The sequence below is a fragment of the Homo sapiens genome, chromosome 1, assembly GCF_000001405.40.
Source record: "Homo sapiens chromosome 1, GRCh38.p14 Primary Assembly".
Classification (NCBI taxonomy): Eukaryota; Metazoa; Chordata; class Mammalia; order Primates; family Hominidae; genus Homo; species Homo sapiens.
In genome coordinates this window covers 121,528,768-121,545,643 of record NC_000001.11, presented here as the reverse complement: position 1 = coordinate 121,545,643, position 16,876 = coordinate 121,528,768, and the positions used below count along the sequence as shown (strand labels likewise).

Below are 16,876 nucleotides of genomic sequence, written 5' to 3'. Positions count from 1 at the left end.
GCCATAAAATACCAAGAAATTAATGAAATAAAATAGGCAGAACTTTTCAGACTGCAAGCAAAAATCTATTAGTGGATCAGGAAATCAATTTAATAGTTATCACCAGATTTGTTTTTTAATAGATTGGAGTAAAAGAGAAATTATCAGAGTATAACAAGCCTATTAGGTGTAGGTGTAGGTGTTATTGGATGAATATTTTGTTTCATATGTGTGTGAACATGCAGTTGGTGCATCAGGTTACAAAGTAAAATGTACTTCTTACTTTGGGGAGTACTTTAATCACTTTGTAAAACAATGTAACAGTAGAGAAACAGAACAGAGTTTAGGAACTGAAATATGATTAGAGTGCTATTTCAAAGCTATCAGGAAAAGGAGAACGATTCAGTTAAGAGCATTGAGACGCTGGCTAACAGTACAAAATAATAACCATAAAATTAGTTCCTTCTCACATGCAAAACAAAACTATATCATAAATGGGTTAAAAAGTGAAAGGTGGAAAAGTATGCAAATAATAGGAAACATATAATGAAACTTCTTCACTATTAAAAAAACCACCTAAAAGTTTAAAGTGGGAAAAAATATTTGCAACTTCTATAAAAAGTAAAAATTCAGTATCCAAAATTTCTGCCTACCTCATTTAAATTAATTCAAAAAATAAAATATAAGCCTAGTATGTGGGTCAGGGGAAGGGGCCAACTGTCAAGATGTTTTGAAGACCAATCTGGAAGTATATATTAAAATAAAGATGTGCATAATTTCTAACTGAGCAATTCTACTTTGTGGTATTTATCACAGAGAAACATTCACAATTATGCCCAGAGAGATATATGTAGGGTGTCCCTTGCTACATGGTTTATAACAAAAAATATATTAGCCAACTAGGGTCCGTTAGGAAAAAAATGTGTAAGTAAGCTGGTGTATTTATACTGTGCATACAAGTTTTAAAAAAAACAAGCTAGATTCATATGCAATATGACTAGATCGCCAAAAGCTAATGTTGAATGACAAAAAAAAAAAATTTCAGAACAATACATATGGACTAATACCACTAAAACTAAAGAATACAAACAATACTACATAGTTTTTATGGATGCACACATACACACACACACACACACACACAGAGCATGGGAAAAAACACATTGAATAGAGTATACCACTGGAAAAGAGGAGAGAGAAGAGAGATAGAAATGGTGGGTAATTCAATGAGACTTGAACCTCATCAGTCAAGTTTTTTATTTCACCTCCTGAAGTTCTATTTGGATATTTTTCGAACCTGCTTTGGTCTTTTTAAAAAACAGTATAATATTCATTCTCATGTTTTTAATATTTCTTTTATTTCTCTACCTAGTATTTCTATAATCTGAAGCTCTGGAATGTCTAATCCTACTGCTCCTTAGCTCTGTTAGGGACTGTGTGTTTGTTTTTTATATTTTTGTTTTGTGACATGTTGAGACATGTAACAGCAGGGATTATGTCACCAGGATGGACAATGCATTCTTCCACAGAGGGTTTTTCATTGTTTTCCTGCGGAAGTACTACCTGCCAGGGTCATTTTTGTGTTATTTCTCAGCTCGGAGGCTCCTGTACAGTATAATGCAGGTAATGTAAATTTGCAATTTAAACTGTGTTGAGGACAGGCCCACGTCTTTAAATAATAAGGGAAATCTTTGGGGGTTTGGAGGTTTTCTTAAAAAATTATTTTTATTCATATTATTTTTAATTGGCAGATAACACTGGGAATCTTTTGGTTTAAATGCCTAACAAAACTTTAAAAGAAAGAAGCCAACTTGTCATCTTGTGCTGTCGGCTGATTTTCTTCCCTAAATCAAACCTTTCCCTACATTTACAGCCTAGGAAGGATAGTTTCCTGCAGGTTTTCAGTTCCAACTCTCCTCCTTGCATGAACTCAAGGCTTTCTTTTTTATATTTTTGTAGCTCTTAAAACTCAAATATATTGGCAACAAACACAGGAAACCTAACACAATATCAGTTAACGGGTTTCATGCCCTGATCACCAATTTTGATCAGTAGAAACTTCTTTACTTTTGTGTACATAGCTATATATTTAAAAGAATGTTTACTGTATTTTAGATATTCGTAGGTGTGGCAGGAGGGTTTTCAGATTTTCTAATTTACTCTAATGCTGAAAATAATGTTTTAATATTTTCAAAATGGAACTCATTTTTACTTACAGAATTAAAAATTAACAAAAATACAGTAAATACATATCAGAGAAGCAGGAACATATGTGCTTCTCTGATACGTGCTTTATTGAAGATGGGATCTTGGCTCCATTCTTAAAGAGAGGAAGGATTTGAACACCAGTAGGAGGGAGGGAAGAGACAGGTCCCACTTACAGAGTGTGAGGTCCTATGCCTGTGATTCAGCACCATTACCTAACTTTATGGTGAGATTCTTTACTAAATGTTAATCACAGGATCATTAAATCATGTGTATTCCCACGATAAGGGGATGGGAAACATGTGCAGGACTCTCATTTTTAATGTATAGAACAGTTGGGATAATTTTCAAATGGGGAAAATTTTGTCCCCCAGGGAATGTTTAGACAATATCTGGAGACATATCCAGCTGTCATAACTTAGCAGGTGTTACTCACATCTAGTGGGTAATGGCTAGGAATGCTGTTAAACAACCTACAATTCTGAAGACAACCTCCTACAACCAAGAATCTTCCAGCCCCAAACATCAATACCTCTGTTAATAAACACAAAAACAAAAACAAAAAAAAACTGATATAGAACAAAAGTTGATCACAGCCACTGCCACTTGTGGTGCTATGGGTAGATCCCTCTTCCATCTTCGCTTTCTCTGACTCTCTATGAATGTTAGGTCTCAATTTTTTTCTCTGTACATCAACAGTGTACATATCAAGTTTGATGAGTGCCTCTGAAAAATATCATAACATTTGCAGCATTGGAGTCATGCTAGAATCTTTTCTGCAACAAAGTATTTTCACTTCTTTTCTTCTTCTCAATCTTCTCAATCACCTGCCCCTAGAATCTGAGTGGTCCTAACCTAGACCTCTTGCTGGACGAGATTTAGACAATGTGGTTGGTTTTCCTTATCTTGACTAATCTTCCCGAATCTTACATTGTGCCTTAATTTGCACATCTGCACCTCTAATGTCTACTTATATTATCTCCTTAGCTCACAAGGACCTTGTGGGACAGCTGATCACATCTCAACATGTAAATAAAATGTGCCATTGGGTCAACACAGGAGAGCTGATTCCAGTGTTAACAAGTTGGTCAAGGGAACTCTCAGCTGTTTATTTTTATTTCAGTCTCTTCCATTAAACTATAACACACTGATTGAGAAACTAAACACTAATATGCAGAGAGGAAAAAACAAAAATAAAAATATATTGTGGCAATACAAACAATATAATGAATTCCAAATACCATGGGCATTGGAAAACTAAGTACAGTGATATAAAAATAGTCCATTATCAAAAAATCTGTTTTAAAACCCCTGAGAGCAGAAAAAATACTTTTAGTTTCAGTCAAGTCAATTACTTTCACAAATTTATGATTAAGCAAGTGCAATTTCTTTTTTTCTGTGGGGCAGGGGAGATGGACTCTTGCTCTGTCACCCAGGCTGGAGTGCAGTGGCACAATCTCGGCTCACTGCAACCTCCACCTCCCAGATTCAAGCGATTCTCCTGCCTCAGCCTCCCAGGTAGAAGGGAATACAGGTGCCCGCCACCACACTTAGCTAATTTTTGTATTTTTGGTAGAGATGGGGTTTCACTATGTTGGCCAGACTGGTCTCAAACTCCTGGCCTCAGGTGATCTGCCTGCCTCGGCCTCCCAAAGTGCTGGGATTGCAGGCAGCAAATGCAACTTCTAAAACAATAGCTTTATTACTAAATAAACCTAGAAATAGCAATAAACCTAGAAAACAGCTTTATTTTCATAGTTTACTACATCATTTCAAAACTAATGTCATTCTTCTTAAAATAAATATAATTGACTTAGTAATGCTGTTAAAAGAAACAAGTAACTGGGCATTATGCCCAGAAAGAAAGGCTGCAAAGCATAATGGTTAATAGCACAGACTGGGCACCAAGCTGCCTGAATTTAAAACCATAAGCTCCAACTCAGGAACTGTGATCCTGGTCAGTTCACTTAGTCTCTTTGTGCCTCTCTTTCCTCACCTGCAAATTACAAATAGTAACAGTACCCACCTCATTGAGCTGTTACAAGAATTAAGTTATTTAGAAATACAAACATGGTACATAGTCAACATCGAGTTTGTTAAGTAAATAATTAGCAATATTTTAAAAATATTAAATAAATAAGCTTTTATGAATCAAAGGCCATGTTTTCATTCTCCCAGGCACAAGAATCCATATGTTTTCCAGTCTCAAGAATCTTTGGATAAGTATGTATGTCAAGAGCCAGACCAAAATCTTTCTGGTCCAAAATTTACAATTAACGTATTGTATTTGAATCTCTCTACAAGACACATTTTATCCTAACAGACAGATTAACTTCAACAATGGCCAGAGGGAAAGAGAAAATAATAAGTAACAACATAGAAATGTTATAAGTATTGTTTATAGACAACAATGAATGAATAATGATAAAATCAATATTGATACATATCAATGTTATGAAAATATGAAAACACTCCATTTACAAATAGTAGGTTAAAAATCTTAACAGCAGTAAGAAGAAAGTCTATGGTTCATAAGGTAAAAATTGATAATCAGGAATTGGAGTTATCTTGTCATATTCAACTAAATTACAGTCCAGAGACCCAGTAAAAAAAAAAAAAAAAAAAAAAAAAAAAAAAAAAAAAAAAAAAAAAAAAACACTTGGGACACAAAGCACCTGCCCGGGGCTAATAATGCAAGCTAGCTGCTGAAATGACCTGGTATAACTTTAAGACCAGTTTTACCTAGCAGCTTCTGAAACAAACCGCCATGACTCTAAGACTAATTTACCCACCACCATCACTCACCATTCAGAGCTCGTCAGCTCCTAAAAACTTTGCTAGTGCTAATGAGTTTTCTTCCAAAACAATATATAACATTTCTCTCTAATAAAACCTCTAAGCTTCTCCTTGTTTTTCAGTCATACTGAAGACCATTCCACTCTCTGTGTATGCCCTGAACTCCAATTCTGTTCTACCAAATAAAGCATTTTGTTTAGAGATTCATCTTGATATTCTTATTTTACATTGACACTAAAAATTATAAATATATCTTCAAATTTAAATTCTGTAGTTCAGTAAAGGTAGTTTCTAAGACCAAACTTTTCGATGGGAAGGAACTAGAGCAACAACCTATATGGAAATGTAACCATTCAGAGCCCAACTCTGATATCTAATGTTTCTAAATTAATGTCAAATCTTTTCGTCAAAAACAAATCCAAAGTTAAATGAAGACATTATTATTATTATTATTATTATTATTACTATTATTATTTGACAGAGTCTCACTCTGTCCCCCAGGCTGGAGTGCAGTGGCTCACTGAAACCTCCAACTCCTGGGTTCAAGCGATTCTCCTGCCTCAGCCTCCCAAGTAGCTGGGACTACAGGTGTCCGCCACCATGCCCAGCTAATTTTTGTATTTGTAGTAGAGACAGAGTTTTGCCATGTTGGCCAGGCCGGTCTTGAACTCCTGACCTCAAGTGATCCACCCACCTTGGCCTCTCAAATTGCTGGGATTACAGATGTGAGCCACCCTGCCCAGAATGAAGACATTATTTTTAAAAAGACTATTGCAATAGAGGAAAAACCTCCAAACTTAAGATCTTCAAGCATCCCAAAAGTAAACAGAAAAGGCTATTTTTTAATATGAAGAGGGATAAGCAGTAAAGCAGGAACTTTTTTAGGGAAACTGGGCAAATGAAGGAGTGTACACAGACAGCATGATCGGGCTGCAGTCAGCCAATTATCAAGATGTTCTTCATTTTAATGCTTGCTCAGTCTTAGGGCAAGCCACGTTTCAGGGGTCTGTAAGGAAGAAAAAAGACAGACTAAAGTTTAATCAAGCCAAGGCAGAGGTAAGTAATGGATAATTGCAAACAATTAGTCTCTTTATAACAGTGGGAATATGGCTTTAAATAGCACTATTTAGAATAAAAGAATAGGAGTTAAACCCTCCAAACAGGTTAATTAAATAACCAGCCTAATAACAATTAAAAAGTCCATTTTTTGCTCCTGCCCTGAGCATTGACTGTTTCGTTTCCAGGCCCCAGCTGTACTGGTTGAGTAAGCGGTGCCCTGCTGCCAACATTGCCAGGCTGGTTAAAGAATGTGTAGATTGCTTTCTCACATGAGTCTCTTAAAGAAACATTTCATCTTAACAGAGGCAACCAACAACTACAACTTGCAAAAAGTAAAAGAACACAGGAAAGTTATAATAATTATTTTTTACAAGAATGAACTCCATACATTGGAATGGGGACATTTGGGAACAAACAAAAGCTGCACAAAGTCACAAAAATGCTCCCCCAAAAAGCTCAATGCAAACATTCCATTGTTATCAGATTGGGAAACACACAGCTGCACACACACACACACACACACACACACACACCTTCTATTCATATTAAACAGAAATAGAGAAACAGTTCATAAGACTAGAGGACAGTTAAACACTAGATGTGTATTTGGAAAAACCTAACTATTGATTTAATAATAGTTTGTGATGTTTTAAATTCTAATTATACAATTTTAATATTGTTCCTAAAACAGATTAATGACTCTTAGGAATTTAAAAGACTAAGATTACTTTGGAAACATGGAATCCAAAACTGTGAAAGAAAAAGCAGAGAAAGCAGGGCTGGGTTTAATTTTGGAGTTCCTTGGTTGCTTCTCCTTAGCACAGTGACTCATTTGATATCATCTTTAATTTCTCTGGCTAAAGGTTTTCCAACAGATATACAAATTCTCTTCTTGACCTAGAGTTATGTAATGGATGTACCAGCAGGAATTAATGAAAACATAAGAGTATCTGCAAATCAAAATTGATTCTCCCTTTTCTCAGGTATCCGTTTTCTGGGGAGCCATTCTTAGCCTTAGCATGTCTGGAATATTTTCCTCCTTTGTGCGCCCCCAGTAAAACGTTCTCACCACATTAGATTCCCAGCACGCTACTGGTATGTTTTCCCACCGGGCCAGGAACAGGGATTACCACTTCACAAAGCAAAGAGCAGTAGCTTTGTTTAAGAAAAATTGTGACACTCACCTCGGAAGTGGTTGAGCCTGTCCACCAGTCCTGTGATGCGCCCTGTAGTGAGCTCTGGATTCACAGGCTGGGGCATGTGCAGCAGCACGGACTCACTCCTGCAAGGAAGTAGGTTGAGTTGGTTAAGCTTCTGATGTCTGTGTTTAAGAAATAGATTCCGAGGGAGGAGCCAAGATGGCCGAATAGGAACAGCTCCGGTCTACAGCTCCCAGCGTGAGCGACGCAGAAGACGGGTGATTTCTGCATTTCCATCTGAGGTACCGGGTTCATCTCACTAGGGAGTGCCAGACAGTGGGCGCAGGCCAGTGTGTGTGCGCACCGTGCGCAAGCCGAAGCAGGGCGAGGCATTGCCTCACCTGGGAAGCGCAAGGGGTCAGGGAGTTCCCTTTCCGAGTCAAAGAAAGGGGTGACAGACGCACCTGGAAAATCGGGTCACTCCCACCCGAATATTGCGCTTTTCAGACCGGCTTAAGAAACGGCGCACCACGAGACTATATCCCACACCTGGCTCAGAGGGTCCTACGCCCACGGAATCTCGCTGATTGCTAGCACAGCAGTCTGAGATCAAACTGCAAGGCGGCAACGAGGCTGGGGGAGGGGCGCCCGCCATTGCCCAGGCTTGCTTAGGTAAACAAAGGAGCCAGGAAGCTCGAACTGGGTGGAGCCCACCACAGCTCAAGGAGGCCTGCCTGCCTCTGTAGGCTCCACCTCTGGGGGCAGGGCACAGACAAACAAAAAGACAGCAGTAACCTCTGCAGACTTAAATGTCCCTGTCTGACAGCTTTGAAGAGAGCAGTGGTTCTCCCAGCAAGCAGCTGGAGATCTGAGAACGGGCAGACTGCCTCCTCAAGTGGGTCCCTGACCCCTGACCCCCGAGCAGCCTAACTGGGAGGCACCCCCCAGCAGGGGCACACTGACACCTCACATGGCAGGGTATTCCAACAGACCTGCAGCTGAGGGTCCTGTCTGTTAGAAGGAAAACTAACAACCAGAAAGGACATCTACACCGAAAACCCATCTGTACATCACCATCATCAAAGACCAAAAGTAGAGAAAACCACAAAGATGGGGAAAAAACAGAACAGAAAAACTGGAAACTCTAAAACGCAGAGCGCCTCTCCTCCTCCAAAGGAACGCAGTTCCTCACCAGCAACAGAACAAAGCTGGATGGAGAATGATTTTGACGAGCTGAGAGAAGAAGGCTTCAGACGATCAAATTACTCTGAGCTACGGGAGGACATTCAAACCAAAGGCAAAGAAGTTGAAAACTTTGAAAAAAATTTAGAAGAATGTATAACTAGAATAACCAATACAGAGAAGTGCTTAAAGGAGCTGATGGAGCTGAAAACCAAGGCTCGAGAACTACGTGAAGAATGCAGAAGCCTCAGGAGCCGATGCGATCAACTGGAAGAAAGGGTATCAGCGATGGAAGATGAAATGAATGAAATGAAGCGAGAAGGGAAGTTTAGAGGAAAAAGAATAAAAAGAAATGAGCAAAGCCTCCAAGAAATATGGGACTATGTGAAAAGACCAAATCTACGTCTGATTGGTGTACCTGAAAGTGATGTGGAGAATGGAACCAAGTTGGAAAACACTCTGCAGGATATTATCCAGGAGAACTTCCCCAATCTAGCAAGGCAGGCCAACGTTCAGATTCAGGAAATACAGAGAACGCCACAAAGATACTCCTCGAGAAGAGCAACTCCAAGACACATAATTGTCAGATTCACCAAAGTTGAAATGAAGGAAAAAATGTTAAGGGCAGCCAGAGAGAAAGGTCGGGTTACCCTCAAAGGAAAGCCCATCAGACTAACAGCGGATCTCTCGGCAGAAACCCTACAAGCCAGAAGAGAGTGGGGGCCAATATTCAACATTCTTAAAGAAAAGAATTTTCAACCCAGAATTTCATATCCAGCCAAACTAAGCTTCATAAGTGAAGGAGAAATAAAATACTTTATAGACAAGCAAATGCTGAGAGATTTTGTCACCACCAGGCCTGCCCTAAAAGAGCTCCTGAAGGAAGCGCTAAACATGGAAAGGAACAACCGGTACCAGCCGCTGCAAAATCATGCCAAAATGTAAAGACCATCGAGACTAGGAAGAAACTGCATCAACTAATGAGCAAAATCACCAGCTAACATCATAATGACAGGATCAAATTCACACATAACAATATTAACTTTAAATGTAAATGGACTAAATTCTGCAATTAAAAGACACAGACTGGCAAGTTGGATAAAGAGTCAAGACCCATCAGTGTGCTGTATTCAGGAAACCCATCTCACGTGCAGAGACACACATAGGCTCAAAATAAAAGGATGGAGGAAGATCTACCAAGCCAATGGAAAACAAAAAAAGGCAGGGGTTGCAATCCTAGTCTCTGATAAAACAGACTTTAAACCAACAAAGATCAAAAGAGACAAAGAAGGCCATTACATAATGGTAAAGGGATCAATTCAACATGAGGAGCTAACTATCCTAAATATATATGCACCCAATACAGGAGCACCCAGATTCATAAAGCAAGTCCTGAGTGACCTACAAAGAGACTTAGACTCCCACACATTAATAATGGGAGACTTTAACACCACACTGTCAACATTAGACAGATCAACGAGACAGAAAGTCAACAAGGATACCCAGGAATTGAACTCAGCTCTGCACCAAGTGGACCTAATAGACATCTACAGAACTCTCCACCCCAAATCAACAGAATATACATTTTTTTCAGCACCACACCACACCTATTCCAAAATTGACCACATAGTTGGAAGTAAAGCTCTCCTCAGCAAATGTAAAAGAACAGAAATTATAACAAACTATCTCTCAGACCACAGTGCAATCAAACTAGAACTCAGGATTAAGAATCTCACTCAAAGCCGCTCAACTACATGGAAACTGAACAACCTGCTCCTGAATGACTACTGGGTACATAACAAAATGAAGGCAGAAATAAAGATGTTCTTTGAAACCAACGAGAACAAAGACACCACATACCAGAATCTCTGGGACGCATTCAAAGCAGTGTGTAGAGGGAAATTTATAGCACTAAATGCCTACAAGAGAAAGCAGGAAAGATCCAAAATTGACACCCTAACATCACAATTAAAAGAACTAGAAAAGCAAGAGCAAACACATTCAAAAGCTAGCAGAAGGCAAGAAATAACTAAAATCAGAGCAGTACTGAAGGAAATAGAGACACAAAAAACCCTTCAAAAAATCAATGAATCCAGGAGCTGGTTTTTTTGAAAGGATCAACAAAATTGATAGACCGCTAGCAAGACTAATAAAGAAAAAAAGAGAGAAGAATCAAATAGACACAATAAAAAATGATAAAAGGGATATCACCACCGATCCCACAGAAATACAAACTACCATCAGAGAATACTACAAACACCTCTACGCAAATAAACTAGAAAATCTAGAAGAAATGGATACATTCCTCGACACATACACTCTCCCAAGACTAAACCAGGAAGAAGTTGAATCTCTGAATAGACCAATAACAGGCTCTGAAATTGTGGCAATAATCAATAGTTTACCAACCAAAAAGAGTCCAGGACCAGATGGATTCACAGCCGAATTCTACCAGAGGTACAAGGAGGAACTGGTACCATTCCTTCTGAAACTATTCCAATCAATAGAAAAAGAAGGAATCCTCCCTAACTCATTTTATGAGGCCAGCATCATTCTGATACCAAAGCCGGGCAGAGACACAACCAAAAAAGAGAATTTTAGACCAATATCCTTGATGAACATTGATGCAAAAATCCTCAATAAAATACTGGCAAACCAAATCCAGCAGCACATCAAAAAGCTTATCCACCATGATCAAGTGGGCTTCATCCCTGGGATGCAAGGCTGGTTCAATATACGCAAATCAATAAATGTAATCCAGCATATAAACAGAGCCAAAGACAAAAACCACATGATTATCTCAATAGATGCAGAAAAAGCCTTTGACAAAATTCAACAACCCTTCATGCTAAAAACTCTCAATAAATTAGGTATTGATGGGACGTATTTCAAAATAATAAGAGCTATCTGTGACAAACCCACAGCCAATATCATACTGAATGGGCAAAAACTGGAAGCATTCCCTTTGAAAACTGGCACAAGACAGGGATGCCCTCTCTCACCGCTCTTATTCAACATAGTGTTGGAAGTTCTGGCCAGGGCAATCAGGCAGGAGAAGGAAATAAAGGGTATTCAATTAGGAAAAGAGGAAGTCAAATTGTCCCTGTTTGCAGACGACATGATTGTTTATCTAGAAAACCCCATCGTCTCAGCCCAAAATCTCCTTAAGCTGATAAGCAACTTCAGCAAAGTCTCAGGATACAAAATCAATGTACAAAAATCACAAGCATTCTTATACAGCAACAACAGACAAACAGAGAGCCAAATCATGAGTGAACTCCCATTCACAATTGCTTCAAAGAGAATAAAATACCTAGGAATCCAACTTAAAAGGGATGTGAAGGACCTCTTCAAGGAGAACTACAAACCACTGCTCAAGGAAATAAAAGAGGACACAAACAAATGGAAGAACATTCCATGCTCATGGGTAGGAAGAATCAATATCGTGAAAATGGCCATACTGCCCAAGGTAATTTACAGATTCAATGCCATCCCCATCAAGCTACCAATGACTTTCTTCCCAGAATTGGAAAAAACTACTTTAAAGTTCATATGGAACCAAATAAGAGCCCGCATCGCCAAGTCAATCCTAAGCCAAAAGAACAAAGCTGGAGGCATCACACTACCTGACTTCAAACTATACTACAAGGCTACAGTAACCAAAACAGCCTGGTACTGGTACCAAAACAGAGATATAGATCAATGGAACAGAACAGAGCCCTCAGAAATAATGCCGCATATCTACAACTATCTGATCTTTGACAAACCTGAGAAAAGCAATGGGGAAAGGATTCCCTATTTAATAAATGGTGCTGGGAAAACTGGCTAGCCATATGTAGAAAGCTGAAACTGGATCCCTTCCTTACACCTTATACAAAAATCAATTCAAGATGGATTAAAGATTTAAACGTTAGACCTAAAACCATAAAAACCCTAGAAGAAAACCTAGGCATTACCATTCAGGACATAGGCGTGGGCAAGGACTTCATGTCCAAAACACCAAAAGCAATGGCAACAAAAGCCAAAATTGACAAATGGGATCTAATTAAACTAAAGAGCTTCTGCACAGCAAAAGAAACTACCATCAGAGTGAACAGGCAACCTACAACATGGGAGAAAATTTTCGCAACCTACTCATCTGACAAAGGGCTAATATCCAGAATCTACAATGAACTCAAACAAATTTACAAGAAAAAAACAAACAACCCCATCAAAAAGTGGGCGAAGGACATGAACAGACACTTCTCAAAAGAAGACATTTATGCAGCCAAAAAACACATGAAAAAATGCTCATCATCACTGGCCATCAGAGAAATGCAAATCAAAACCACTATGAGATATCATCTCACACCAGTTAGAATGGCAATCATTAAAAAGTCAGGAAACAACAGGTGCTGGAGAGGATGTGGAGAAATAGGAACACTTTTACACTGTTGGTGGGACTGTAAACTAGTTCAACCATTGTGGAAGTCAGTGTGGCGATTCCTCAGGGATCTAGAACTAGAAATACCATTTGACCCAGCCATCCCATTACTGGGTATATACCCAAAGGACTATAAATCATGCTGCTATAAAGACACATGCACACGTATGTTTATTGCGGCACTATTCACAATAGCAAAGACTTGGAACCAACCCAAATGTCCAACAATGATAGACTGGATTAACAAAATGTGGCACATATACGCCATGGAATACTATGCAGCCATAAAAAATGATGAGTTCATGTCCTTTGTAGGGACATGGATGAAATTGGAAACCATCATTCTCAGTAAACTATCGCAAGAACAAAAAACCAAACACCGCATATTCTCACTCATAGGTGGGAATTGAACAATGAGATCACATGGACACAGGAAGGGGAATATCACACTCTGGGGACTGTGGTGGGTTCGGGGGAGGGGGGAGGGATAGCATTGGGAGATATACCTAATGCTAGATGACACGTTAGTGGGTGCAGCGCACCAGCATGGCACATGTATACATATGTAACTAACCTGCACAATGTGCACATGTACCCTAAAACTTAGAGTATAATAAAAAAAAAAATTAAAAACAAAAAACAAACAAACAAAAAAAACAGGTTGAGTTGAAAAGACCAGGCTAAGTGTAGTGGCTCACACCTGTAATCCCAGCATTTTGGGAGTCCGAGGCAGGAGGATCACTTGAGCCCAGAAGTTCAAGAGCAGCCTGGGTGACATAGTGGGACCTCATCTCTATTTACAAATAAATAAATAAATAAATGAAAATTTAAAAAAGAAAAAAAAAAAAATGGCTGACGGGCCACTTTGGGTTGCTATTTGTTTTCCAGCTACGGTTACCAAGAGGCATGCCCTCTATCACCTGACTTTCAGTTTCCTCTGCCTCTGTCACTTCTCTCTCCTTTTGAAAACTTTCATTAAAAAAACAAGGTTTCTATTTTCACCTCTCTCACTCTCCTCGAAGTTACTTTATTTGTTTATTTTATTTTTGTTTTTTTTTTTTTTGAGACGGAGTCTCACTCTGTTGCCCAGGCTGGAGTGCAGTAGCATGGTCTCGGATCTCTGCAACCTCCGCCTCCCCAATTCAAGCAATTCTCCTGCCTCAGCCTCCCGAGTAGCTGGGACTACAGGCGCCCGCCACCACGCCCAGCTAATTTTTGTATTTTTAGTAGAGATGGGGTTTCACCATGTTGGCCAGGATGGTCTCAATCTCTTAACCTCGTGATCTGCCCTCCTCAGCCTCCCAAAGTACTGGGATTACAGGTGTGAGCCACCGTGCCCGGCAGACGACATGGCCTACTGTTCCTTTTATTTTAGAGTACCAGACCTTACCTTCCAGGAAACTACTCAAATATATCAAAAAAGTCAGAGAAGGGGGAAAAAAGGCTTATTATTGTAAACTTGGCTGCATGATTTAAATTAAATCCCATTCAATTTAAATGAAACCTGAGCCATTTTTATTACACTTTTTAAAAATAATCTGCTCAGAAAGTTATTTCTAGTACAAGATTAGATTTCCAGTTCATTTTCTTATATGTATGAAAAATGTTATCATAGTGATCACTTTTGTTACTTTAGCTTTAGAACATTGCTTTTACAATATTGCCTAATAAAATAACGTACCTAGCAGAACCTAACTCTCCAATAGGCTGTGTTCCAAAGGTTTAATCACTTCTAAAACAGCTTTCGAAGTTTAATGCACTTTCTAAACGACCAGGGCACATGTATATCTATGTAACAAACCTGCACATTCTGCACATGTATCTCAGAACTTATAATAATTTCTAAAAAAAGAAAAAAAGTGGCCGGGCGCGGTGGCTCACGCCTGTAATCCCAGCACTTTGGGAGGCCGAGGCGGGTGGGTCATGAGGTCAGGAGATCGAGACCACGGTGAAACCCTGTCTCTACTAAAAATACAAAAAAAAATTAGCTGGGGGTGGTGGCAGGCGCCTGTAGTCCCAGCTACTCAGGAGGCTGAGGCAGGAGAATGGCGTGAAGCCGGGAGGTGGAGCTTGCAGTGAGCCAAGATCGCGCCACTGCACTCCAACCTGGACCAAAGAGCAAGACTCTGTCTCAAAAAAAAAAAAAAAAGTCCTTAAATAACATATTAAATCAGACTACCCTCTCACAATGATTATATAGGAAAATATGTCCTGAGTTTCTCACTGGGCTATCAAGTATACAAAACCTTTCCTCCAGTCACATCTAGTATTCATTCATTCATTCACTCATTCATTCATATTCATACCCATATTCTCCCATTCTCCCTCTCCTCCCATCACCCTCCTTCTCTGTCTTTTCCCCCTTTTCTCTCTTCCTCTTCCCTCCCACCCTCCCCAACTCTCTCTTTCTCTCTCTCACACACACACACACACACAAACACACATATACACACTGCTTAAAAGAAAAGCTCCCATAAATGTTATTTTCCTAATGAAAAATCCTTGTTTCTATTCTTGGGGCTAGCATACTTAGAGGTTAAAGACAAAATATTTCAGGAAGATCAAGGCAGATGCTATTCACTTATGGACAGGAAGCCAGGCGGGGGTGGATGAGAAGGAAACAGCTATTCTACTATATCATCTGTTCTGTGAAGCCTGCAAAACGTAAGCTTTGATATCTTTGCTTTCCTCTCCAGGGATACCCCACTGTACAGCAGAATACAATCTTAAGGGTTCTTATTATACTCTTTATCCCTGAAACAAGCCCATAACCTTTTTGAGATTTCCAGCATCATTTATTATTATGGTTCACAGTATCAGTAACAATAAGAGTGACATAAACTAATGAAAAAATTGCTGTCATTCTTATTCCTATTCCACTTAAGTAAATGAATATACACAGTATCTGATGCACACTTGGTACTGTTGGGGAATATGAAGCTGGGCAAGCTTGGTCCTTAAGGGGTTATATGGATCATAATAGTAGGGATTTGGGCCCACAATTTGAAATTGAGAGTCATTAAAATTTTGAGCAGCACCCATTAATGCATAGTATTGACTAAAACTAGCCAGTATATTTTATACAAATTGGCACATGAGATAGAGTGTGAAGCCTGAGCCTGGAGGTGGAAGGAGGGTGAAGATAATTCCAGGAAGATGAGCTCCAATGCTGGGGCTATTCTCCCTTACCGATCACTAGGACTTGTCTTGGATGGGCTCAACAGGGACCTGTGTCAGAATAAGGAGAGAAAATGAGTCTAAGTTTGGCTTTGGCAGAATCTAAGCTGATGACAGTTGAAGGATAGGAAAGGAAGGAAACACCAAGTTTCCAGAGGTAGGGAAGTCTGGGTATTTCCAGAATATACTAGCTGTTGAGGCCATTTCCAATTGCTGGCTCACATATTAAAAATACAATCAGACATCCATAAACCAAACACCACCAGTACCTTAACTTCATATTCCCTTTAAGGCATTAATCTTGATCAAGCTTCAGGTTCCACTGAAAAAGCCCCAAGTGCAAAAGAACACATATAACTGCTGTGTGGCTTCTGCCTTGGGAAAAGTCCCTTAAAGAGGCAATATACAGAAATGCCTTAAGTGGAAAAGCAGGACAGCCTACAGAAGGTATTAGGACAGTAAAAGAAGTTCTTTGTTTAGGCAAGCTATTTTTTAACCAAAAAAAGTGAGAATGTAAACCTTATTGCTTTTAGTTGGAGGACAGCTGGCAGGAGGCTGATTCAGCTAACATTGGGGTTTAAAGGAAATTGGCAGGAGACTCAGGCAGATGTGGTTTGAATACTTCCCTAAAAGGATTAGGCTGAGTCACAAAAAGAAGTATAAAATGAAGATGAAGGAATTTGGGGTCTTAATCCAAATTCTGTCACTGACTGTTACTTAGGGTTTCCAAACGCCATATGCCCAGCTCAGTGCTTTGAAAATATGCCTCCACTGTAAACCTCATCTGATAGGGAAAAAAATGAGGATCAGAAAAGTTGTATAAATATGAGTGATGATGCCAAGATCATAACATGCATTTCTCAAGTTATCAAACTCACCCTTTCTTAATCATTGCTAGAAAATTTCCATATAGCAT

General features: G+C 39.3%; 1 pseudogene across 1 annotated transcript in view, besides 1 other annotated feature; it reads right to left on the bottom strand.

Moving 5' to 3' along the window:
- EMBP1 (embigin pseudogene 1) overlaps nt 1–16,876 on the bottom strand; it is a 52,777-nt pseudogene that overhangs the window by 26,245 nt on the left and 9,656 nt on the right. The gene's annotated exons all lie outside the window — the stretch shown is intronic.
- Nucleotides 7,605–8,314: an enhancer, noted in NCBI's record as "NANOG-H3K27ac-H3K4me1 hESC enhancer chr1:121279128-121279837 (GRCh37/hg19 assembly coordinates)". NCBI's record gives its function as "activates a minimal SCP1, AML or CMV promoter by ChIP-STARR-seq in naive and primed H9 embryonic stem cells {active_cell/tissue: H9 hESC(naive and primed)}" and the evidence as "EXISTENCE:reporter gene assay evidence [ECO:0000049][PMID:30033119]".